Raw genomic sequence first — 24,540 nt, 5'->3', positions numbered from 1 at the left:
GGGAACGGTGGGAAGGTAACGCCAGTGAGGAGTGGGAACGGTGGGAAGGTGACACCGGTGAGAAGTGGGAACCGCAGGAATGTAACGCCGTTGAGGAGAAGTGGGAACGGAGGGAAGGTAACGCCAGTGAGGAGTGGGAACGGTGGGAAGGTGACACCGGTGAGAAGTGGGAACAGTTGGTGAATTCGCCTAAGGCTCTAATGGCAGTTCCTTGTCGTATTCTTGTGACTTTTACATATGTTTGACGTTGTATCAAAATGGTAAGTTGGGAAAAACCCTCAGAGCAGCTCATCCTCAGACCTGCTGAACAGTCTTCAAAGACGCCAAACGGTGGCAGCCGCGTCTTTGTGAGGCTCTTCTGGCGACGGCGCTGGCGCGGACCTGCCCCGGCAAAGTGTGCGTGTCGGGAGGCAGCACCCGCCCGCCAGGCCTGGCCACAGTGGGAGGAGGGAGGTGGCGCAGCAGCCGCTGGGCGTCCTGGGGGTGACCTGGGCTCACAGAGGGCAGGGCCTAGGGCCACGCCGATGAGCCTGTTAAAGTGCCTCACAGTGTCATTGCGACTCATAACCATTCTCACCGTTGCTTATTTTACGTGGCACTTGCTTGTGTCCACCCAAACTGCCTGACCACGAACCCAGAAACCATGAATATTTTGTCCCCGACCGTTGGCCGCGCCCTAGAACCAGGCCTGGCCCAGGCTGGGTGGGTGGGTGTGAGGGATAAGAAGAGAAATGGCAGGCAAGTCGGTTTTAACATACAGAACAGGTGGCCACGCGGGACAGACCCTAAAGCCAAGGTTCTTTCTGACCTTATCATGAGGCTGATCCTTGGAGCGCAGGGAGGCGGCCGCAGGGTGAACAGTGCCCTCTGTGTAGGCTCCGGAGCAGAATGGTCATCATGGACAGGCCGCCGGCTGCTGGGCTGTGACTGTTCTGAGGCTGAAATGGGCAAACAGCCTTGCCTCCTCTCCACCTGCAGCTGCAAGCCTGGACAGTCGAGGCACCCCGGGAACCTCCCCTACGCTCATGTCTTGCTCGTGCATTTCTGAGCTCCCCGGCAGTTCAGCCTCCCTTGTATTAAATCCTGACAGGAAGCTTGGATTAAGACCTCGGTAGTGCTAAAGCCGTTGCTCTCTGAACCCATGCTCATGGGGGATGAATCTTGTCTCCCCAAAAGATATGTTCGAGTCCTAAGCCCTGGTTCCTACAAACGTGACCAGTTTGGAAACAGGGTCTTCGCAGATGTAAAAAGTTAAGGATATCATGATGAGATCATCTTGGATTTAGTATGGGCCTGAAATCCGGTGCCTGGCATCCTTATGGGAGAAAGGAGAGGCTTGCAAAGATGGAGGTGGGGCTGGGCGATGCTGAGGACACCCGGAGTCACCAGAAGCAGAAGCGCCGAGGAGGGATCTCCCTGGAGCGAGCAGCTCTGAGGGAGCGCAGGCCTACACCTCAATCTTGGACTCTGGCTTCCGGAACCATGAGGGAACAAGTGTCTTGTTTTAAGCTGCAGCCCAGGAATCCGCCTCCCTGTGGCTCACCAGTCCCCTTGGGCACATCTTCCCTCTCCTAATGGGGTAAAATCAGGGGCAATGTGCTGTGACCTGTGGCTTTGGGGGTGCTCTCAGGAGCGGCCTGGGGCTGAGCAGGCAGGGAGCCTCTACCTGTACCTACTGTGCCTGCTCCCTGTGAGGGCTGGGATGCCCCCCCGATGCTGAGCAGGTGCCAGGAATGTTGATGGATGGATGGATGGAGAGAGGGATGTTGATGGACGGATGGATGGAGGGAGGGATGTTGATGGACGGATGGATGGAGGGAGGGATGTTGATGGACGGATGGATGGAGGGATGTTGATGGACGGATGGATGGAGGAAGGGATGTTGATGGACGGATGGATGGAGGGAGGGATGTTGATGGACAGATGGAGGGAGGGAGGAATGTTGATAGACAGATGGATGAAGGGAGGGATTTTGATGGACAGATGGAGGGAGGGAGGAATGTTGATAGACAGATGGATGGAGGGAGGGATGTTGACGGACAGATGGAGGGAGGGATGTTAATGGACTTATAGAAGGGATGAAGGGACGGCCAGTCCACCACCAAGCAAGGATGAAACCCTAGATGCAAATCAGGCTCCGAGTCAACTTATGGGAGTTCTTTGATAAAAACACATATTCATAAAATGAGTCACAAAGGCCCTTGCATTTTTCATTTTCAATCTGCATTTGTAAACATCTTTACTCAGCTTCACTTTGTACAGGGAGGTCTTCGAAATTTTAATTTCAAGCTCAAAACATGAGGGCTGTTATTCTGGCCCACTTTTTTTTTCTTGGAAAAGATAGGAAGCTCTTCGCCAAAAGAAAAATAAGTCACAAGCTTAATAAATAACGAAGCACAAAGCAAACCACTCATGCTCAATTTTTCATACTTCTATGAATATTTCAGGAAATAATAGATGGCCTTAGAAGACTATCATAAGGCTGGCAGGGACCCGGAGCTGGGGACAGCCACCTTCTTCTCTCAACCCTCTTGATGTCATTTGTGTAAAATTAATGCAGGAGTTGGTTTCATTTTCTAATTCATCGAGAAAGGATATTTCTATTCACAATGGCATCTTCCAGTTACCCATCCAAGACTTCGGTGGTGCGGGGCAGGGGAGCCCCCAGGTGGGGCTGAGCCCCGACGGTTCTTGGCTTTACCCTGGAGGGAATTCAAGGGCAAGCCGCAGGTAGAAGGAAAGAGCTTTATTCAGGCGGCCGTGCCACAGCTCACAGCTCCCTGACTGCTCCTGCAGCGGGGCCGCCCCGTAGGCAGAGAGCAGCCGCTTGGGGCAGTTTTGCAGTCACACTTATACCGCTTTTAATCGCATGCAGATTAAGGGGCGATTTATGCAGAAATTTCTAGGGAAGGGGTAGTAACTTTTGGGTCATTGAGTCATTGCCATAGAAGGGGGCGGTAACACCCGGGTGTTGCTATGGCAACGGAAAACTGACAGGCACTCGGGTGGGCGAGGCTTAGGGAAAGCTGCTTCCGCGAGCCCTGCTTTAACTAGTCAATCCGGTCCGGAGTCCAAGTACTGCCTCTGGAGTCGACTCCCACCTCAAACCTCACTCGAATGATGGCGTCCCAGTCCTCTCTCAGAAGACGTCCATCAGCAACGTGATTCTGTCCTCCCAGCCAAGCTGGCAGCTCCCGGAGCCCCTGCCCTATCGCTGGTCTCCCGGGCTGTGCAGGCCCTGCAGGGACTGTGAGCCCTCCTCACGCGGAGGAAGCAGAGGGGGCTGGACCTGCCGGCCTGGCACATGCACGTGGAGAGGCCGACTGTTGTGCACACTCACGCAGGCACACACACACTTGCTCACACACACACTGAACTCATGCTCACACATGCCTGTCAGGCTCACACTCACACTCGCTCATCCGTGCACTGACACTCATACACGGCCAGCGTCCTAAGGCGGAAGAGTGAAGGAGAAAGGCCTGCACTCCAAGGCTGGGCTGCAAGTGCAGCGGGGGTGAGGGGTGGGGGATCGCCGGAGCAGGTGTGCAGCAGGGGTGAGGGGTGGGGGATCAGGGGAGCAGGTGTGCAGCAGGGGTGAGGGGTGGGGGGTCAGGGGAGCCAGCATGTGGTAGGGGTGAGCAGGTGAGAAGTGCCGGGGAGCAGGCATGAGGTGGGGGTGAGGGGTGGGGAGCCCCCGGGAGCAGGTGTGTGGCAGGGGTTGGGGGTGAGGGGTCCTGGGAGCAGGCATGCGGCAGGGGTCACATTGAGCCGATCTTGATGTTTCTGGTTTTGCCTTTCTTAGCCCTCAGCCCCAAATTCTTGCTTACACTTCTAGAAATAAATTACAGCCAACCCGGTCAACACGTTTCCAAATTTTCCAAGACGTTTGCTGACGTCGTTAGCTGGTGACATCCTCTTCTTCACATTTTTAAAGCTTAAAAATAAAAGTCCTGGATCCAAGTCAGACGCCAGCATTTGCTGCTTCCCCTCCGTCTTCTGAGCAGATCTGAGCCTGGGGTTCCGGCTGGGTTTGTTGTTAACTCATAGATACAAAAAACGTCTCCCAGCCCTGCCTCCCTCCGCCGTCCGCCCACAGGGCCTGCAGCCTGAGGCTGGCTCCTGCCTGAGCCGCGCGCTCTCAGTGCGAGGGGCCGTGGGGGTGTCCCTCTGTGGTGTGGCTCCGGACCAGGGGCCTCTGTCACACTCTGGGGCAGCAGTGTTTGGGAAGAGCTGTCACCTGTCGAGGGAATGCCCCTCGGGATGGCACCACCCTGGTGGCTCTGACACCCACGGTGACCAGGGAGGGCTGAGGTGGGAGCGCGTTCTGGCTGAACCACGTGGGAGGCGGCATCTGGGGACGAGGCCTCGCCGTCTGTCACCAGTGACCCTTGGCCGAGCGTGAGGACGGCTGTGTCCCCAGGCTGCAGCAGCCACGCACCAGCACCACCTCCCCCGAGCCCCTCACACCCCCTGTCCACAACCCCATTCGTGGCACCCTCGTCAGTGGTGGGGCGATCGTCCCCTTGGGTCCAATCTGGACGCTGGGGCCGAGGCCACCGGACGCCAAGGCCACCCGTTGGCTCCAGGCCGGCACCTGTTCTCAGAAGAGATCTTGCCTTTGCCAAGGCTGGCCCTGGCCTCGGGCCTGAGACAAGAGCCCAAGTGGGAGTTGACTGGGGGGGGCCTGGGGGGCACCGGAGGGGTGGGGATGTCAGGAGAAAGAAGGTGATGGCCTAGGAGCCTCAGCGAGGCCTGGACAGGGGACGGGCAGAGGAGCCTCCTTAGTCCCCGTCCAGGTGAGAAAGCCGTGGCCTCCACCCAGGTGCCCACCTGCCCCGGGGGCCTGATTGTGGGTCCCCACCTGCATGCGGGGCGTCCTCTGTATGGCTGCCAGTTTGGGGCATGGCGAGGGCCCAGGGACCTGTCTGACTCGAATTCCTGGCGGGAGCCGGGTTTGAGGCACACAGGAGCCTCGGTGCTGAGTCGGGGGCAGGTCGGCCCAGGTGACATCACACCCACCCTTGTGTGAGCCGCCAGGAGGAGCCCAGGCAGGATAAGGACAAAAGGTCAACCCTGGGGCAAGGAAGCCCAGAAGGTGCCGGCATGTCTGTGCCTGGGGTGGGTCCACCCTTCCTCTCAGGGGCCGGCGATGAGTGTCCGGGAGGAGAGCCCTTGGCCTCAGCGTGCACTGACACCAAGGTGGCGGCGCCTCCTCGGCTTATTCAGACAGCAGGACGCGTCAGAGGAGAGGCTCCAGTTTGGGTTGCCTTTCAAGCAGCGACATCAGAAATGCCCCGTCTCTCCTGGTCTGAGGGATCAGGAGGGTCTAGACCAAAGGGCGGTTACCCACCCAGGACAGCCTCTGTCCCTCTGGGAAGGAGAGGTCGCCTTGGTCAGAATCCCACCCTCACCTGGCCAGCCCAAGTCTCCCCTGGGACAGGAGGAGTGGAGGCCACCCCTTTCCAGACCCTGATTGAAATACCAGCTGAGAAGGGAGACCGGCATCCCTGGAGTGTGGTGGCCCCCAGGAGAGATGCACCCAGCCAGGTGGTGAGCGGAGATGGTACTGCAGGCACACTGGGCAGGTGAGGCCCAGGAGTCCTGGTCCAGGCATGTTGCCTCCAGCGCCCACCTGTCGGTCTGTGCAGGAGGCCAGGCTGCCCTGCAGGGGGGATTGGGTGGGGAGGAGCAAAGGGAGAGGAGGGCATCGCTGTGGCCCTCGACAGCCTGGGGGTCTCCACCAGAGTTGGCGAGGCCGGTGCTCCAGGAGCGGCCGCGTCACCCCCTGCCTCCCCCTGCAGAGCTATTCTGCACCTCCTGACCCCCGAAACGTGGTGCAGAGGCTGCCGTGTGCCTCAAAGACCAGCTCCCACCTGGGAGATTCAGGTCAGACAGACCCCTGGGCCCTCGCCATGCCCGGAGCTGGTGACTGTTCAGAGAAGGTCCTACATGCAGGCGGGCCCCCTGTGCTGGCCCACAGGCTCCAGGGACCCGTGACCAGGAGATGCTGAGCTCAGCGTGTGGGGGTGTGAACATCTGTCAAGTAAGTAAAGGCACGAGGGGAAGAGGAACCCGTCAGAGGATGGGGGTCCAGGGCCAGGCAGGGGATGGCGCCACAAGGACTGAGGGAGGGAGGACGCTGGAATCCCGCTGCCGTGGGAAATTAACCTGAGCAGCTCTTCAAGAGGAGGAGACCTTGGGCCAGTGCCTGGAGAACTGGCATGGAGCCTGGGGCTGCGTTTCAGCCATGCCCTGGGCAAGGCTCAGAGCAGCTGGCTCTGCAGGGACCTTGGCCACGGCTTCCTCCTGCTGCTCCCCAGTCTCGCTGCCTCCTTCCGGAAGGTGCACAACTGACCCCCCAAAGTGCTCCCTAAAGGTGACCCTGGGCTCAGGAGCAGGAGCTCCTGGGTCCTCCCACTCGCCTTCCGAAGGGCCCTGCCCAGCCTGGTGTCAGCAGGTATCCCAGGGGGAGGGCCCCACGGCTCCGCACAGCCTGTCACCTGGCTGTGTGCAAGCCAGGGAGGTCACTGTGACGTCCCGATTTAGTTTCCAACTTCGCTGGTAGAGTTGTGACATTTTCTCTCAAATCACTGCATCCTGCCACAGCTGACTGATCTTGCATTTAAACAGCCGCCCGCTCTGTCCTGGTGCTCAGAGGAGGATAGGGCCTGCCTGTTCAATACCTAGACTGTGAGCACACGGGGCGCAGAGAGGCCCTTCAGAGCAGGACGCCTAAAATAGCACCACCGGCGCCCTGCAGGAGCAGGCCTGCCCGACTCTTCCTGAGCACAAGGAAGGGCAGTCGCCCCGACACCCTGTCAAACTGAATGTTTAAAGCTCTGATGTGAGCCACACAGGCGGCCTCCGTGCTCCGGGCCTCGCTGTCAACCCACAGGTCTGGGCACCAACATGTCCTAAAGTCCTGCCAGGTGTCGCGTCCTGCCTGCCCCACACCCCAGGTCCTGTGGGCATCCCCAGCAGATCCCTCCCCAGCTTTGTAGCTGTCCCGATGGGTGCGGGACTCCCTGCTGCAGCCCCCAGACACAGGCAGGACCCTCGATGTGGGTGGGGTCTCTGATTTGTGGACGGAGAGATCCAGCCTCGGTGGTCAGGTAAGGGGTCTGCGTTCATCCAGGAAGGAAGGGACCAAATGGGAGCTGAGCCCACTGGACCTGCCACCAGCCCGCAGTGACCCCCGGGGGCCTGAGCTTGGGACGCAGGAGTCCACCTGCCCCCAGCACACTGCATGCGGAGCTCTGCCCTGTTTGTGGAAGCTTGAGGAGGGCTGGCCTCCTGGCACGGCAGAGAGGGACCCCCACTTCAGAGTGGTGGGGGAAGGAGGGGCGAGGGCCCTAGGGTGTCCTCCCTCAGTCCTCAGATGAGGCCGCAGCGCCTTCAGAGACGAAATCCTCCCTCGGTCTTCAGATGAGACCCAGCACCTTCAGAGATGGGATCCTCCCTCAGTCCTCATATGAGACCCAGTGTCTTCAGAGACGGGGTCCTCCCTCGGTCCTCACATGAGACCCAGTGCCTTCAGAGATGGGATCCTCCCTTGGTCCTCACATGAGACCCAGCGCCTTCAGAGACGGGATCCTCCCTCGGTCCTCAGATGAGGCCACAGCGCCTTCAGAGAGGGGATCCTCCCTCGGTCCTCAGGTGAGACCCAGCGCCTTCAGAGATGGGATGAGACCCAGTGCCTTCAGAGATGGGATATTTGATGTAGGATGTGGCAGAGGGGCTTTCACAGGCCTGTTGGTGAACACAGGGTGGCCTGGCTCCTTTTTATATTTTCACTGTAGTGGATGTCGCTTAACCACAGGCCGATTCCACATGGCTCTCAGCAGGGCTGGGAGACAGCTGTTAGTGCTCCAGGTGCGGGCCCACCCTGAGGGACTGACAGGGATCTGGCCAGCCCCAGGAGCTCTGTGCTCAGCTGCACTGAGGTGCAGGGGCTGAGATTAGAGCGCTCAGCCACATAGCACTTCCCAGCAAGACCTCTGATCACCCAGACTGATACACCGGCCACTGCCAGCGCAGCCTGGCATGACGGACAGGAACTGCCATCAGGGCCAGGCAGGCAAAGCAGGAGTGGCTCGCCCCAAGGAGGGCAGCTGAGGACAGGGCCCGAGGCTGAGGCCTGATCTAAAGGAGGCCTCGGAGGATCCTGGGGAGAGATCAATAAGGGGGTCGATAAGGGAATTGGCCATGTATCTGCAGGAAACACTGCCTGCTGCCAATGCTTCTTCAGCAACACGTTTGCCTTTTTTACTTGTTTGCGGAGAGGTTTGACCATTTAGGGTTTTTATGTAGCTGTGTGACCACCCTGTGGGTTCACCTTGCCCGATGTCTAGACAGAGCTGATTTATCAAGACAGGGGAATTGCAATAGAGAAAGAGTAATTCAGGCAGAGCCGGCTCTGCGGGAGACTGGAGTTTTATTATTACTCAAATCAGTTCCCTGAAAACTCGAGGACCAGAGTCTTTTTTTTAAATATATATATATTTTTATTATACTTTAAGTTCTAGGGTACATGTGCACGACGTGCAGGTTTGTTACATACGCATACACGTGCCATGTTGGTGTGCTGCACCCATTAACTCGTCATTTACATTAGGTATATCTCCTAATGCTATCCCTCCTCCCTCCCCACAACAGGCCCCGGTGTGTGATGTTCCCCTTCCTGTGTCCAAGTGTTCTCATTGTTCAGTTCCCACCTATGAGTGAGAACATGTGGTGTTTGGTTTTTTGTCCTTGCGATAGTTTGCTGAGAATGATGGTTTCTAGCTTCATCCATGTCCCTACAAAGGACATGAACTCATCATTTTTTATGGCTGCATAGTATTCCATGGTGTGTAGGGGACCAGAGTCTTTAAGGATAATTTGATGGGCAGGGGCCAGTGAATCTGGTGCTGACCGGTTGGCTTGGGATGAAATCACAGGGAGTCGAAGCTGTCCTCTTCTGCTGAATCAGTTCCTGGGTGAGGGTCACAGAACTAGTTGGCAGTTTCAGGTGGGGCCATCCAGTTGTCAGAAATCAAAAACCTGAAAAGACATCTCAGCAGGCTGAGCTTAGGTTCACAATAGTGATGATATCCTCAAGAGTAAGTGGGGAAGTTGCAAGTCATATGACCTCCAGAATCATGGCTGGTAATATTTAGAATTCCAGCCTGTCTCATTCTAACTTGGTAGCTGGTGGCCTTTCATTCATTTTACAAGAGCAGTTTAGCTTTTGGGAAGGGCTATTATTTAAACTATAAACTAAATTCCTTCCCAAAGCTAGTTCAGCCTACGCCCCGGAATGGACGCGGACAGTTTGGAGGTTAGAAGCAAGATGGAGTCGGTTAGGTCCGATACCTTTAACTGTCATCATTTCCTTCGTTATGATTTTCAAAGGCAGTTTCAGTTGTGTCTGTCAATCTTTCATGCTCTCTGGGTTTTGCGTCATAGTCATTCCTCAAGCCAAGGATGTTTACAGTTCTCCTCTTTTCTTCTGAAATGCTTTGGATTTATTTATTTTTTAATTTAACTTGATTTTTCCAGATGCATTTGGTGCGAGCGTGTGAGGCCCAAGTTGGCTCGTTCCTAGCCCCGCTGTCACATGCTGCAGGACCCCCTCTGCAGTGAGCAGGGCACCTTTCTGGCCACTGCATTTCTGGGTGGCTCCACCGTGGTCTGGAGACTGCAGCGGCTCCACTGACCGGTTCATGGCTCTCGAACAGTGCTAACTTCCTACCTCGATGAAATGTCTGTTATCCGGTAGGACTAGTCCATCCTTGCTTCTGCCACAGAATTTTTTTGAATCCATGCATATTTGGTTTTCTAAATAAAACTGAGAACGAACTTGCCCAGTTCTTCACACATGAATACACACACACACGGACACGCACACACACTCGTACATAAGTTGGCATTGGTACGGAATCACACTAAATGTACCGAGTCACTTAGGAATAATTAATATCTTTGTAATACTGAGTCTTTCTACCCAAGAATGCGGCAGTCCTTCCTTCTTTTTTCCAGTCTTCTCTTCCAGTCGCCAGTAACATTTATGGTTTTCTTTGGGAATATCTTGTAGTTCCTAGGCATTTTATCTGTGCTGCTGCGGTTGTTGTAAGTGGGATTATTTTCTCATTTTTCTTCTAACTGGTCACTGCTTTCTAGGGAGTCTGTGGCTTGTCACCCTGTGTTATGCACCTGCTCTGAGGGCGCCCTCTGGTCAGGGATCAAGTCCTGGTTGTGCAGTGCACAACCTGACCACCCTGACATGCCAGTGCCTTCACCTCCACCTTTCTCAGATTTGTGCCTCTGATTCCTGTCTTTGATCAAATTTCGTCAAGGTCATGTCGAACATCCTTGCCTTGTTTCTGACAGTGAAAATGGCCATAATATTTCCCGTTAAGTGGGATGTTGTACATGCCCGTTCATTCCTAATTTATTTAGGGTTTTTACACAAGAATGGACGCTGGATTTTATCAAGTGCATTTTAGACATCTATGGAAGTAATCACATTTTTTCTTTTACAGCCGGCAACAGGAGGAATTAGAGTCATCAATGTCGTAGTGTTAAATCGTTGGCTGGTCCCAATGGGTCATTCTTTCTGATCCACTGCCGATTCTGCTGGCTAAGATCCTATTTAAGATTTTTACATTGACATTCACAGGCAAGACTGGCTTGTAGCTTTCACTTTTGTGCTACCTTCATCAAAATTGAATGTCAACATTATTCTGCCTTTGAAAATTAGTTTTGAAGCTCTCTTTCTTCTCCTATGCTCCAGAATCTTTTAAAAAGCAACAGAGTGACCATCTCCATAAAGATGATGCACATTTTCTCTGTGAAATTGTCTGGCCTGATTTTCTGGGCAGGGCTGGGTAGTTCTTAACAGTTTTCTCTGTCTCTTCTACAGTCATTGGTCCATTGAGAGATTTTCTCTCTTTTGGGGGAGTTTTCATACCTACATTTTCCTAGAAAAGATAAAATCCATAGCAGCAGAGTGCTGCCATAGGATTCTTCACTGTAAATGTGTGTGATGTCTCCTTTTCCATTTATTATTTTGTGATCTGTATTTTCTCCATTTTTCTTAATTACCAACAGGCTGATCAGGTGCTGGGTTTATTTATTGTTGCTTTGGTTCTTCTGTTTTCTAATTAACTTCTATTTTTATCTTTTTAATCCCTTCCTTGTACTTTTCTTAGAGCAATGTCATTTTTTTTTAATAAAACCTGAGTTGGATGGTTAAATACTATGTCTGGGTTATAATCATAAGTACTTTTTCTCTGAGCACTGCCTCTGGCAGTGATATGTAACAGCTTTCCTTCTTGCTATTTTTGAGATATTCTATTTAATTTATTTAAGTTTTGGTTTGTTCTTGAACCTAAAAGTTGTTTAAGACACAGGCCTTTTATTCAGCGAGTAGGGCTGTTAGTTTCCAGTTGTGTTTTAAATGTCTACTTTTGTTGTCTTATTGTAAATCAAAAATAAAATTCTAAGCCCCTCGACCATCTGAACAGACCCCTCCTTTTAGCCAGGGGCCAAAGTTAACCTGAAAACTTAGTTCAGGCTGTGATGGGAGCAGGGAGCTGGACGTGCCTCATTATCCCTCCTCCCTTTTGGAACTACTGATAGAACAGACTCGTTAACTCTGATAAGAAACATTTACAGTCTATTTTCTCTGAAGCCTGCAACCTGAAGGCCTCACTTGCGTGATAAAACCTTAGTCTTCACAACTCCTTATCTTAACCCAGATGTTCCTTTCTATTGATAATAACTGTTTCAACCAATTGCCAATCAGAAAATCTTTGAATCTGCCTACGACCTGGAAGCCCCCTCCCCCTTCTCATTGACCCACCTTTCCAGACTGAACCAACACATCTTAGTGTACTGAGATGCATCTCCTTTGAGTGTATAAAACCAGGCTGTGCCCCGGCCACCCTGGGCGCATGCCCTCAGGGTCTCCTGGGGCTGTGTCACGGGCCATGGTCATTCGTATTTGGCTCAGAATAAATCTCTTCAATTATTTTACAGAGTTTGACTCTTTTCATCAACAGTGTTAGCAGTGACCAGCCAGAGAGACAAGGGGAGGGAAGAAGAAATGAGTTCTCCCATACAGCCCACCTCCTCCACTGCCCACACGGCCATTCCCTGCTCTGACCAGTGTCCCCAGGCATCTGGGGTTTGGAGTGGAACCTACCATGCCTGCTGGTTCACTATTTTCTCAGAGCTGTTTAAAAAGAAAAAAAGAAAAAAAATGACCACAACGAAACTGCTAAACCACCTGATAATTAAAGCAAGAAAAACAAATCAAAGAAAATGTCAATGCACAAAATTAGGACTGGGAACGTGAGACTGACCACAGACAGAGAGAATTAAAGTGCTTGATGCTCAGATCCTTGGATAATGTTTTGCACAACTCTTTGCTAATGATTTGAAGTTAGGAGGCAATGCAGCTTTTAAGGAAAATTAAGATGGGCAGGGTGGACTTTTGGATGGCCCAGTGACTGTGGATAAACTGGGAGAGCTCCGGGTGAGACCAGAGCTGAAGAGAGGTCCGTGGATCTCACTTCCCCAGCAGGGCATCCACAGCCATCTCAAGAGGATGCATCCTTCCTCCATGGGACTCCGGGATTTTCTGGCTTTCCAGGGCCTGCATTTCAGAGGGCAGGCTTTTCCTGCCCTGCCACACCCTGCAGTACCTGCACCTGCACCCCTTCCTGCATGCCGCCCTCTCTCTCTGCACACCTCAGCTGGGAGGGAGGAGAAAGAACAGAGTGAGTGATCCCTATTTGTGGGATTTCAGGACATTGGCAAAAGCTTCCATTCCAAATACAATATCCAGCCCCCTCTGAGTGGTGTCTAACCTCCACACTTAGAGACTTTTTCCTTTGACTGAAGCAAAACCATGCTGCCACTCACTTCTCAGGGGGTGCCAGCCCTGGGAAGGGGTGTTCCTGGAAAGGTCTGCACACTGGGCTGCACAAGGTGTTTCCCTCCAAGAGTGGAGAAGAGTGGGGTTTGGAGTCCTCACGCTCCAGGGTCATGGCCGCTGAGACTGGAGGAGCTGCATTAGTCCCGTCTGAATTCCGTGATTTGGGCAGAATTGCACTTGCCACGTTGAGCACACGCTCCAGCAAACCCCTGTGCTCTGCGTTATAGGAGGTTCTACAACAGGCAACTCTGGTCTGTGGTGGCTGAAGTCAGAGCACAGGTGCCCCAGGGCAGGGTAGGGCCAACTGGGAGGGGCACAGGGGCCTCTGTGGGGTGACAGGGTGGTTTCCGTCCTGAGGGGTGTGGGTGACCACGTGCACACACTTCCAAAACTCACGGAAACGCAGCACTTACCACCTGTTCGTTTTGCTGCATGTAAATTATACCAAAATAAAGGAAGCAGTGAAGGAGCAGGGAAAAGGCAGGTTTGTGATCTTCCTCGCCAGGGCTGGCTTCAAGGAAACAAGTGCTGACCGAGACAGATGGGCACTTGGTGGTAGCAAAGGATATGAGCCACAGAGAAGCCCCAGCAAACCCCTGTGCTCCGAATGGGATGGAATTGGCATCTGCTGAGAGTGAGTGACAGAGCCAAAGGGTGTGCAGGGAGAGCCAGACAGACACTTCAGAGGCCTGAAGAGCGTCGTCAGTAACACAGTTCTAACCAATATTCATCGAAGGCCTTTCAAGTGCCCATGGAACAATCACAAAAATGGATGGCGTATCGAGGCCCAGAGGAAACCACGAATTCCAAAGCATACACACCGCCAGGCGACGTTCACCAATCCCAGCGCAGTACCACTGCCGGTTGAAGTCAATACCGTGAAGCGGAAAACCTCACCATCTGAACATTTTTTAACTCTCTAACATAACTATTAAGCCAAAAGAAAATAAAGTTCTCTTTACAGAATATCTAGAAAACAATGAAGAAGAAAATCCACGTTCAAGAAAATATCTCCAAAGTTTGAAATTGAGGAAAATTAGTGGTGAGTGATTTTAGTATCACAGCAGAGCACTCTCCCCTCCCTCGGAAAATGCGGCCTCACTGCCTTCCCGCTTACGGCCCCCAAGGCTGCCGTACTGCAGCCCCATGAAACTGGAGGGCGTCTTACAGAAAGGTGATAATGCGGAAATTTTTTTGGAGAAGATAACCCTAGAGGTTACGCTTTTTGTAGGACATGAACCAGGTTTGGACCTAACTTATCTAATGATCTCATAACCCCAAAATAAAATTCTAAGACCCCCCCCCCCAGTTGACTGGACTCCCTCTGGGCCAAGGGGACCCCAGGAAACCTGAAAAACTGGATTATTGATGAGAAGGGAGGCTGGGCTCCCCCTCCCTGTTGGAGCTTAGGCACAGCTGACCAGCATTTATACTAAAGTAGAGATCATAAGACTGACAAATAGACTTTTTGTGGCAATTAGATACCAAATTCCAACCTGACTCTGGCATAGCATTGCATGACAGCAGATAGCAGACCCTAAAGAAAAGCACAGTATTTTACTCCCAAATATGTTTCTTTGACATGTTTTGAAATGGCTGGGAAAAGTGCACTCTTGTAGGGGAAAATTGTGTCTATAGAGAGTGGCCTTCCCTTACTAGGTCCTTTCCTGATCCGGGAGAGATTTACCTAAGAGATTTATGGCACCTTTTAAGGTCCAGAAAGAGATGTTTATCATCTACTCTCTCTGAAGCTACTTCATGTATGAAACAAAAATTACCTTGACTTCCACAACCTCCGATCTTAAGCATTTCTTTCTGCTGACTTCAACTGTAAGCAAAGCTTAACTTTTTCAACCAATTGCTAATCATAAAATCTTTGAATCCACCTAAGACCTGAATGCCCCTGCGCTGCCTGGCTTCAAGATGTCTCACCTTTCCAGGCTGAACCAATGTACACCTTATATGTATTGATTTGCCTGTAAGTTCTGTCTCCCTAAAATATGTAAAATGGAACTGTAACCCAACCACCTTGGGTGCACATTTTCAGGAGCTCTTGAAACTGTACCCCGGTCCATGGCCACTCATATTTGGCTCAGAAGAAACTTCTTTAAATATTTTAGACTTTGGCTTTCCTCATCAACAATCTCTCTCCCATTTAATTTCAATTCCTCAAATACTCTGTGAAGTCATGCTGTCATTCTGTCCGTTACCTCATTCATGAGTTAAAAAGAACTTTGTCACATAGAGCAGCTATTTGTATAAAAAAGAGTTTTAACAGTTTGAGAATTGTGCTTTTACAAGACATGTCAGAAATTATTAGATACTGCCAAGAGTGCTCAGATAGAAATTCATAGTCTCATATGCTTATCAGTTAACAAGAAAACATGAAAATAGGTAAATTAAACATCCAATTCAAGAACTGCAAAACATAGCTAAGTGAGGCAGACAGAAGGACTTTGTAAACCAAAAATAAAATTCTAAGCCCTGATCATCTGAATGGACCCTGCCTCTCAGTCAAGGGCATTCCAAAGTTAACCTGAAAACCTAGTTCAGGCCATGATGGGAAGGGGGAGCTGGAGGTGTCTCATTATCCCTCCTCCCTTTTGGAATTACTGAGAGAACAGACTCTTTAACTCTGACAAGAAACATTTATGATCTATTCTCTCTGAAGCCTGCTACCTGGAAGCTTCATCTGCGTGATGAAACCTTGGTCTCCACAACCTCTTATCTTAATCTGGACATTTCTTTCTAAGTCTTTAGACAATAACTTGACTCAACCAATTGCCAGTTAGAAAATCCTTGAATCTACCTATGACCTGGAAGCCCCCCGCTTCCAGTTGTCCCCCATTTCCAGACGGAGACGATGTACGTCTTACATGTGTTGATGGATGTCTCATGTCTCTCTTAAAGATATAAAACCAAATGTGGCCTGACAACCACAGACACATGTTCTCAGGAACTCCTGAAGGCTGTGTCATGGGGCCATTGGCCACTCATATTTGGTTCAGAATAAATATCTTTAAATATTTTACAGAGTTTGATTATTTTCATCAACAACTTACTAAGGAATAAAGAAGAAATTAATGATTTGAAAAGCAGGAAATGATAGGATCAATTAATAGGCACCAAAGCTGGTTCTTTTAAAAAAAAGGAAAACAATAAAATACAGAAACCATCAACAAACCTAACCAAAAAGAAATACATAAAATCAGAAATAAGCATCAGAAAATAGCCCAGATGCAGAGTAAGTGAAAAACAACTATGATAAGACTACTTTGTTCAACACTATGCATATTGAAATCTGGATGAAATGAATGCTTTTTAAGGAAAATATTATCAAACTGATTTTGGAGGAGCCAATTACCACAGGAGAAGTATTAAAGAGCTATGAGAGAAGTGTTAAAGAGCTACGACAGTCAGCCACACATGCTTATGTTGGAGGAAAACTTGTCCTCTGTCATCTCAGGTTCTCTATTGGGGGCCTGCAAATGAAACAAAAGACGGTTTAGCAAAGGGTAAAGTTGATTCACATGCATACTCAGGAAGAAAGTGACTCAAAGAAGCAGCTAGAATTTGGGGCTGAGAAACCATCTTATCAAGGGGAAGGAGGTAGGACCCTGAGGGCCAGCATGTGGTGGGAAACGAGCGAGAGAGACACAGGAAGCTAACGGAGGGCAAGGTCCGCTTGGGAAAGGTCTGTGTGTGCCATTGCTCATCCCAGTGCTGACTTCTCATCTCCAGCAACTGGAGTTGCTCTGTCTCTTGGTACCAGAAGCCTCCTTTCAAGGGGCCGTGATGGCTGAGTCCTTGGGCAGTAATGGCCGAGTCCTTGGGCGGTGATGGCCAAGTCCTTGGGCCATGACGGCTGAGTCCTTGGGCGGTGATGGCTGAGTCCTTCTGGAAGCCTCTGCTTTTAGGCAGATAAGGCCGCTGTGGAGAAAGCCTCCTCCTGCACTGTGGATCCCCAAACACCATCAGCTCAAAATGATCCTTACACCACAAAGTGTGATCTGGATCCCTTCACACACCTGCACATATACACACACATGCATGTGCTTACACGTATGTACACTTGCACACTCAAACACGCATACATATGTGTGGTTACATGCACACACGTGTACACATACACATGCACACATGCACATACATGCATATAGATATACACAGTGCATGTATACACATATATATCCATATCCACACAAATGCACACATGAACGTGCTTACATATGGGTACACATGCTCACACATATACACATATCTCCATCTACACATATACATCCACATCCACATGAATACTCATGCATACACATGTTTACACACGTGCACACACGGACACGCAGGCACACACATACACATGTACACACATGACCAAACAACACACATGCATGCATGTACTTACATTTACACATGCACACATAAACACCCACATGAAGACAACATACATATACATATGCACACATACATGCTCACACATTCATATACACACACGCTATACACATACATGCAGCATGTGCATACACAAACGTACCCACACACACACATACATATACACACTTGCTCCAAATGAGAAAGAAAAGTCCACCTTACAAGTTCTCGCAAACCTTAAGGAACATGTAATTACAATGCTATGAACCAGTTCAGGAGCACAGAAGGAAAGATCAAGCTTCCACATTGTTTGTTTGAAAATATCACAGAATCACCTTCCTTATCAATATCGAGGCACAAATTCTTAGTATTAGCAAGCAGATGCACACCGAAGGCAAGCGAGTGAGAAAGCCCACTGCGGCTGGATCAGAAGACACACGGTCTTACGGCAGTTCTCTTTAAATCAACCTGTACCGGAGAAAATGCCAACAGTGTGCTTTTGGCTGTGTTTTGTGTTTATTTTTTAAACTAGACCAGATGTTTCAGCATTTACATAAAAATAAACATGCAAATACAGTCTTACAAAACGTTGAAGAGAGAGGCCTCAGAGAAGAGAGTGCTGCCGCTGTCCAAGTGTGCCATGAGCTGCAGCAGCCTCTGCAGCAGGGCCTGCTGGACCAGGAGTTCAGAACGAGGCTCTGCTCTAATGACACAGCAAGGCTTCAAAAATATCTTCCAGTGAATGGATGGGTAGTTAGCTGGAAGCCATGATGCTAAACAGGTATGATGCAACTGCCATTTCTGTGAACCAAAAAAGAATATACATGTACACATCACCTGTGCACGGTGTCTGCAGAAGGCAGAGGGAAGGCAGGTAGAAGCATTAATTAAGAGCTGCAGATTCATCAGATAAAAATGTGTGACCCCAGGTTAGGTGCTGGGATGCAGCAATGCTGAGTTCCTGGGATCCTGGGATGCTGGAGGTACTGGGGGTAGTGGGATGCTGGGGTGCTGGGATACATGGAGGCTGGGATGCTGCAGTGCTGGGATGCTGGGATGCTGGGGTGCTGGGGTGCTGGGGTGCTGAGATGCTGGGGTGCTGGGGTGCTGGGATGCTGGGGTGCTGGGATGCTGTGGTGCTGGGATGCTGAGATGCTGGGGTGCTGGGATGCTGGGATGCTGGGATGCTGGGGTGCTGGGATGCTGAGGTGCTGGGGTGCTGGGGTGCTGGGATGCTGAGATGCTGGGGTGCTGGGGTGCTGGGATGCTGAGATGCTGGGGTGCTGGGATGCTGGGGTGCTAGGGTGCTGGGGTGCTGGGATGCTGGGGTGCTGGGGTGCTGGGGTGCTGGGATCCTGGGATCCTGAGTGCTGGGTGCAGGGCTGTTGGGGATGACAGCCTGGGGTGCTGAGTGCTGGGCTGTTAGGGATGATGGTCTGAGGTGCTGAGTGCTGGGGTGCTGGGTGCTGGGTGCTGAGTGCTGGGCTGTTGGGGATGACAGCGGATGTTCTCCTCCCTGTCTTTTCAGGGCATGTGCACACCACCCTCGGCCGTCATCCTGGAGACGCGGGAGCTCGGCTGCCAGGTTGCTGATACGCTCCATGTTCAGGAGCTGTCCCACCGGGAAAGGTGTCCGTGGGGGTGAGGAGCCCTCTTCTGATCCTCCTGCTTTCCTGGGGGGTGAAGCTGCTTTCCCAGAAAACACCAGGCCCCCCTCCCAGCTGCCGGACCCCACAGTGTGGTCTTTGTCCCCAGGGGCAGTGCTTTCTGCCCCTTTTGTTCTCTGCTGATCCCCAGAGCCTGGCCCTGCACAGGTCGTCGGTGATGTCTGTGGATTAGAGACCTGCTCCCCTGTGCCTCCACAGGGGAGGGCCACACATGCATACACATGCACACTCAGACACATGGTCACACACATGATCATGCTTACATGTCACACACTATACACACGCACTCTTGTGTACACATGGCACACACTTACCCTAACGCAGCCACACAGTTCACACACACCCACCCCCTCCTGCTGACACTCTCACAGTCACACACATGCACTCACCACACCCTCCCCTAGTGGGCTCTGGGGTTCCACCAACCGTAGCTGGGTGGCCACCCCATGGTCTTCACCACTGCGTGGCCCAACACACAAAGGTGGCCTGGGGTCTCTCCCGACTCTAGGTCAGTTCTTCCTGGTTCCCTGGGCCAACATTCTCCTGCGGGCCCAGTCTCAGTCAGCCCTCACACGTGGGGATTCCAGCCCAGCCCCCTTTCCCAGACTCCACACTTGGATTCTCAAGCCATAGGTAAAGTAGCCGTGCCGGCACCGACTGGCCCCAAAGTGGAGCCGATGCCACAAAGCACTGCCGGGCCAGACACCAGCCAGGCAGAGTGAGGAGAGCACAGGCCCCTGGGACAGCGGTGCAGGTCGGCTTCCAGCCAACTTTGGGGTCCCCAGGACCCCGCCTTTCTGGAGGGGTCACCAAGCCAGAGCTGGGCTCCACCTGGCCATTTGTGAGATGTGCAGCTTTGTGAGCTGGTGCTGCCCCTGGGGCAGTTTAAACAGCGGTGGTGGGAGGATGTGCAAATGCTTCCAACCAGGGGCTTCATTTTCGCTTTTCCCTGGAGAGCCTGCTTGCCAGCACCCCGCTACCAGGGACCCTCCGTGCCTCCCCAACTCCACCTAACCCCTTCTCCAGCTCCCCTAGTGGGGGGCGGCACCTTGCTCTTCTGAGCGGAGCCGGGGAGAGCGAGGACCCCGCACATCACCACGTCCCTCCTGCCCCCGGCTTCTGCTTGCCTGTCCCCAGGAGCTGGGATGCCAGGTCGATTTCAACTAAGTTCTCTTTTACGGACATACACACCAGTGGGATTTGATTACTGGCCTCACCTGCGCTGGAAGAAGCTCTATCTTTAACTTCTGTTCTGCTCATTCTGCTCATGTATATATTCTGAGATGTTTTAAACAACAATTCACCCATCTTCCTGGCTTTCACCTGATGAAATTACAAATGTTCAGAATTCTCACCACCTTCTGGTTAAGCAAGTGTCATGGATTGAACTGTGTCCCCCTGAAACTCTTATGCTGGAGTCCTAGTCCCACGGCCTCAGAATGTGGCCTTATTTGGAGACAGGGTCTTCACAGAGGTGATCTATTTAACAGGAGGTCCCAGGGTGGGCCCTAAACCCCATGGCTGGTGTCCATATAAGATGGGCACATTTGGACACCGAGACACAGACAAGAAGACGACCACATACGGCCACGCGGGGTGCCCTCCAAGGAACCAACTCCGGCCGCACCTTGTTCTCGGCCTTCCCGCCTCCTTTCCCGCTGTTTAAGCCGCCCATGAGAGTGCCCCGTGATGGCAACGCCAGCGGGCGCATATACAGCAGGCCTCTGGGGTCCAGCCTGGGAGCCCAGACACAGACACCGTCTCTACCTGGCAAGATGGGGTGATGAAATGAGAAATGAATAGATCTGGTCTCTGCTCCCGAGACCCCGCACAGGGCTCCAAAAGCCCTCGAATTTCCTGGGTGATGGCAGCAGATTCTTCCATTCAAATGAGGTGAGGCTTGGTGGCTCCTGGAGGGGGTCCAGTCACCAGAGAGACCAGCCAGGATTAGCACCTGCAGCTCTCAACCCTGCACCCACCCTCCTCCAGGGATCATCCACCATCATCCTTCATGTCTGCGATGGAGCCTCCATAAGAATGCCTGGACTATGGGTCCCGAGCAGTTCCAGGTTGCTGAACACATCCACGGGCCAGGAGGGTGGTGCCCCCCACTCCACGGACACAGAAGCTCCTGGGCTGGGGACCCTTTCCGACCCTGCCCTGTGCCCCGGCCCACCTGGCTGCCCATCTGCGGCCTTTCTCATCTCCTTTTCCTGCGTTCTGTGATAATTTTGTGTTGCACTCTTGATATTTAAGGCTAATGTGTAACTAGAAAACTGAGTTTTAATATTTAATGCCCTTGGATTTGGGAAATCTCTTACTACATTATGTTTGGATATACTTTCTCTGAGGGGATAAATATTTTATCGAGGCTGTACCCATGTGTGGAGTGTCTTTACCAACAAAGGCCCATCTGAGAACTGTCTTTGGGAAGGAATATGGTCATTTAGCAGGGATCTGAGGCTGCCAACTTCAAGACGGGGTGGGGCTCTAGGAGCCTGAGAAACATACGACGTTCAGGTTTCAAAACTATGTCCAGGCAGCTTATTTGATCCCATGTAGGTATGGTGGCCTCTCCCGGGTGGAATTCCACTCTCCCAGGTGGGCCTCTCCCAGGCGGTCCTCTCTCAGGGGGTTCTCTCCCAGGTGGGCCTCTCCTGGGTGGAATTCCACTCTCCCAGGTGGGCCTCTCCCAGGCGGTCCTCTCTCAGGGGGTCCTCTCCCAGGTGGGCCTCTCCCGGGTGGAATTCCACTCTCCCAGGTGGGCCTCTCCCAGGCGGTCCTCTCTCAGGGGGTCCTCTCCCAGGTGGGCCTCTCCCGGGTGGAATTCCACTCTCCCACGTGGGACTCTCGTGGGTGGGCCTCTCCCAGGGGGTCCTCTCCCAGGTGGGCCTACCCCAGGTGGGCCTCCCCTAGAGCTCCCCTAGTGTGCCCACCCCGGGGTGAGTCCCGGGCCCTCCCCTCCCCAGGCCGACCCAAGTCCTTCAGTGGCTCCGGCTTCCCCGCGCGGGGGCTGCGCGCCCCGCCAAGCCTCCAATTCGGGTCGGTCGTAGGCGCCGTCCGGACCCCGGCCGGAAAGCAGCCCCGGCTGGGAGGTGGGGAGCCCCGGGGGGCAGGTGGCTGCGCTGCTACCCTCTCCGTGGGGGCCGGGGCTCTGCGTCTGCTCCTCCCGCCTCGGCCACCCCCTGCTGCCAGGTCTTAGCTCGTCCCCAGACCCGGCGGCCCCATCCACGCCCGCAGCCCGCATTTCCACTGCGCGACTTTCTGTGCCCGCTGCACTTCCAGCACCGTGGCAGGGGCAAATCACCGCCTGTTAAAGTAATGACGGAATGAATGAAAGAACGAAAGAATGAAGGAATGACTGACTGACTGACTGACTGACTGACTGAATGGATGAATGAATGAATGAATGAATGAATGAATGAATGAATGAATGAGCCGACGAGCGCAGGCGCGAAGGACGCAGTCGGAAGTTCCCGGGGAAGGTGGAGGGTGAGCCCGGGGTCAGGACCAGAACCCGGGCACACAGGAGCCCTGAGCGGGGAGAGGAGGCCCGCGCGGAGCCCCCGGCGTCCCCCCACGCCGCCTTCCCTCCCCTTTCTTCTTCCCGCCCCTCGCCGGGGGTCGCTGCCCTGGTGTCTCACTCCCGCGGAGCTGGCGGGGGGCAGGGCGGGGGCGCGGCGTTGTTCGCCTTCCCCGAAGTGTGGCCCCGCCGCCGACCCGTAGCCCCGCGTCCGCGTCCCTTTCGGTCTCCAGGCAACCGTGGCCGGGTCCTCGCGGCTGGAGAACCCAACCGACAGTGGGCGGCAGGACGCACCGCGGACCCCGGAGAGAGCGGACGAGCAGGGCGCCGGCGCCATGGACCTGGTCATCACGCAGGAGCTGGCCCGCGCCGAGAGCCAGCAAGGTGACCCCAGGCCCGCCACGACCCCCGCCCCGGGGAGGCCCCGGGACCCGCCACGACCCCCGCCCCGGGGAGGCCCCGGACCCTCTCATCCCAGCCCGCCCAATGGGTGATCCCTCGAGGGCCACAGCCGGAGCCCCCACCTCCCGATCGTCTGACCAGAGCAAACGTACAGGAAGGCGCCCACACCGCTGCTCCCTGGCGGCGACAGGTTCTGACGGTGGCTGTGGCCCGGGGGCCCAAGGCGGCTGCCTGGGGCCTTCGGGATGGCGTTGCCCGGCTCACTTCTCCCAGCCCAGTGACCAAACCTTCCTCAACCACCCGTTTGGGACAGATGCTGCGTCCTTGAAGAAGGCCTACGAGTTGATCAAATCGGCCAACCTAGGGAAATCGGAGTTTGACCCCTCAGAGAGCTTCAGCCCAGACCTGTTTGTTCTGTGTGCAGAGCAGGCCCTGAAGGTAACTAGTTCCCGGGATCCTCGGTCAGGGCAGCTTTGACAGGGAGAGGGAGGGCCTCTGGGTGTGCAGCGGATGCAGAGTGGGGCTGGGGAGAGGCAGCTCCTGGCCGGGCAGTCAAGGGGCCAGGATGGAGGATGGGGCTGGAAACAGGCTCCACCTGTGCTGGGGGCCTGTTCTGAAAGCGGGCCCGTGGTGCTTCTGGGCAGGGAGGCCACCCCTCCGGGTCTGTGATCTTCTGTGGTGGTGTTCTCTTGCAGATGAGGCAGCCAGAGGTGAGCGAGGACTGCATCCAAATGTACTTCAAGGTGAAGGCGCCCATCACCCAGTTTCTGGGCCGAGCGCACCTGTGCAGGGCCCAGATGTGTGCCCCGAAGTCGGCAGAAAACCTGGTGAGAGGCGTCCTGTGCCCCTTATCCCCAACAGTTCAATTTTCACCCCATCTCCAGAGCAATGCCAGGCTAGACCAGGCTTAAAATCGTTCTTAGGGTAGTAGAGTGAAGGAATTCCTTTCCAGAGTGACACGAAACTTGCACCATTTCCTGTCCATGCTTTTTGCTCAAGTGGTGATATCTGACACACAGGACCCCTGGACCTTTGCCTCGTAGCAGCGTGGTCTCTGTGGCATCTGCGCCTGCAGCTGCCCCGAGTGGGCACAGGGGAGCTGGGGTGGGGCGGGCGTGCTGGAGCACAGGCACTGCGGTTTCTGCTGCCTCGCTGTGTCTGCGGGACGGGAACCCGGGTGCAGGTCCAGGACCTCGCCACGACACTCAGGCTGTGTCTGCCACACCGTCACCTGTGGATACACAGGTGACACACAGGGGGTACCAGGCCAACCGTGAGGGAGCCGTGGCATCCGCAGATGGGGCAGTGAGCAGGGGTCAGTATTTCGGTCTAATTGTGCTTCTTTATGTTGCCTTAGGAGGAATTTGAAAATTGCGTGACTGAGTACATGAAGGCCATAAACTTTGCCAAAGGAGAACCGAGGTAGGCAAAATTGAAGTGGCCGTTTCTCACTGACTGGGTGAAAGACTTCAGAGCCAGAACTTATCAAGTGGGTGTATTTATTTGAACTGTGGGGTTTCCCCTCGTTTGTGGTCTGTGATTTTCATGCACGTGTGATCACTCCCTCATCTCGTCAGCGTGTGGACAGGCCACATTCATGCCGAATTCCGAGTAACAGCCTCTTTTGCACTCGGCGGTTTTCGTGATTTTAGATG

At 53.3% G+C, this 24,540-nt stretch overlaps 1 protein-coding gene and 3 long non-coding RNA genes across 22 annotated transcripts in view, besides 3 other annotated features; 3 read left to right on the top strand and 1 right to left on the bottom strand.

Moving 5' to 3' along the window:
• The first annotated feature begins 13 nt into the window (after positions 1–13).
• LINC01166 (long intergenic non-protein coding RNA 1166) lies at positions 14–21,336 on the top strand. Of its 2 annotated transcripts, none has more exons than NR_120627.1 (2): positions 14–117; positions 18,822–21,336. It is a non-coding gene; the product is annotated as a long intergenic non-protein coding RNA 1166 (long non-coding RNA). The 2 variants fall into 2 exon arrangements; NR_120626.1 differs by lacking the exon at positions 14–117 and adding an exon at positions 18,007–18,276.
• Positions 2,573–3,468: an enhancer, noted in NCBI's record as "H3K27ac-H3K4me1 hESC enhancer chr10:134775339-134776234 (GRCh37/hg19 assembly coordinates)". NCBI's record gives its function as "activates a minimal SCP1, AML or CMV promoter by ChIP-STARR-seq in naive H9 embryonic stem cells {active_cell/tissue: H9 hESC(naive)}" and the evidence as "EXISTENCE:reporter gene assay evidence [ECO:0000049][PMID:30033119]".
• On the top strand, positions 3,066–3,963 carry LINC01167 (long intergenic non-protein coding RNA 1167). Its single transcript, NR_125763.1, has 2 exons — positions 3,066–3,544; positions 3,839–3,963. It is a non-coding gene; the product is annotated as a long intergenic non-protein coding RNA 1167 (long non-coding RNA).
• LOC105378572 (uncharacterized) lies at positions 17,791–21,936 on the bottom strand. Of its 2 annotated transcripts, none has more exons than XR_007062348.1 (3): positions 20,728–21,936; positions 20,178–20,283; positions 17,791–18,094 (listed from the first exon to the last, which is right to left on the bottom strand). It is a non-coding gene; the product is annotated as an uncharacterized LOC105378572 (long non-coding RNA). The 2 variants fall into 2 exon arrangements; XR_946499.2 differs by lacking the exon at positions 20,728–21,936 and adding an exon at positions 20,588–20,701.
• Positions 22,253–22,836: an enhancer, noted in NCBI's record as "H3K27ac-H3K4me1 hESC enhancer chr10:134755971-134756554 (GRCh37/hg19 assembly coordinates)". NCBI's record gives its function as "activates a minimal SCP1, AML or CMV promoter by ChIP-STARR-seq in naive H9 embryonic stem cells {active_cell/tissue: H9 hESC(naive)}" and the evidence as "EXISTENCE:reporter gene assay evidence [ECO:0000049][PMID:30033119]".
• CFAP46 (cilia and flagella associated protein 46) overlaps positions 22,733–24,540 on the top strand; it is a 134,179-nt gene continuing 132,371 nt past the window's right edge. For all 17 annotated transcript variants that reach the window (XR_007061969.1, XR_007061970.1, XR_007061971.1 and 14 more), the window contains exons 1-4: positions 22,733–22,867; positions 23,199–23,323; positions 23,581–23,712; positions 24,243–24,307. Coding sequence is in view for 14 of the 17 variants with exons in the window: in NM_001200049.3 (NP_001186978.2) it covers positions 22,819–22,867; positions 23,199–23,323; positions 23,581–23,712; positions 24,243–24,307 (371 nt within the window). In the remaining 3 variants the exon portion in view is untranslated. The remainder of the gene's footprint in view (positions 22,868–23,198; positions 23,324–23,580; positions 23,713–24,242; positions 24,308–24,540) is intronic.
• Positions 22,837–23,420: an enhancer, noted in NCBI's record as "H3K4me1 hESC enhancer chr10:134755387-134755970 (GRCh37/hg19 assembly coordinates)". NCBI's record gives its function as "activates a minimal SCP1, AML or CMV promoter by ChIP-STARR-seq in naive and primed H9 embryonic stem cells {active_cell/tissue: H9 hESC(naive and primed)}" and the evidence as "EXISTENCE:reporter gene assay evidence [ECO:0000049][PMID:30033119]".

This window comes from Homo sapiens, chromosome 10 (genome assembly GCF_000001405.40).
Source record: "Homo sapiens chromosome 10, GRCh38.p14 Primary Assembly".
NCBI lineage: Eukaryota > Metazoa > Chordata > Mammalia > Primates > Hominidae > Homo > Homo sapiens.
The sequence above is the reverse complement of the archived record's forward strand: the minus strand, read 5'-3'. Positions and strand labels throughout refer to the sequence as shown.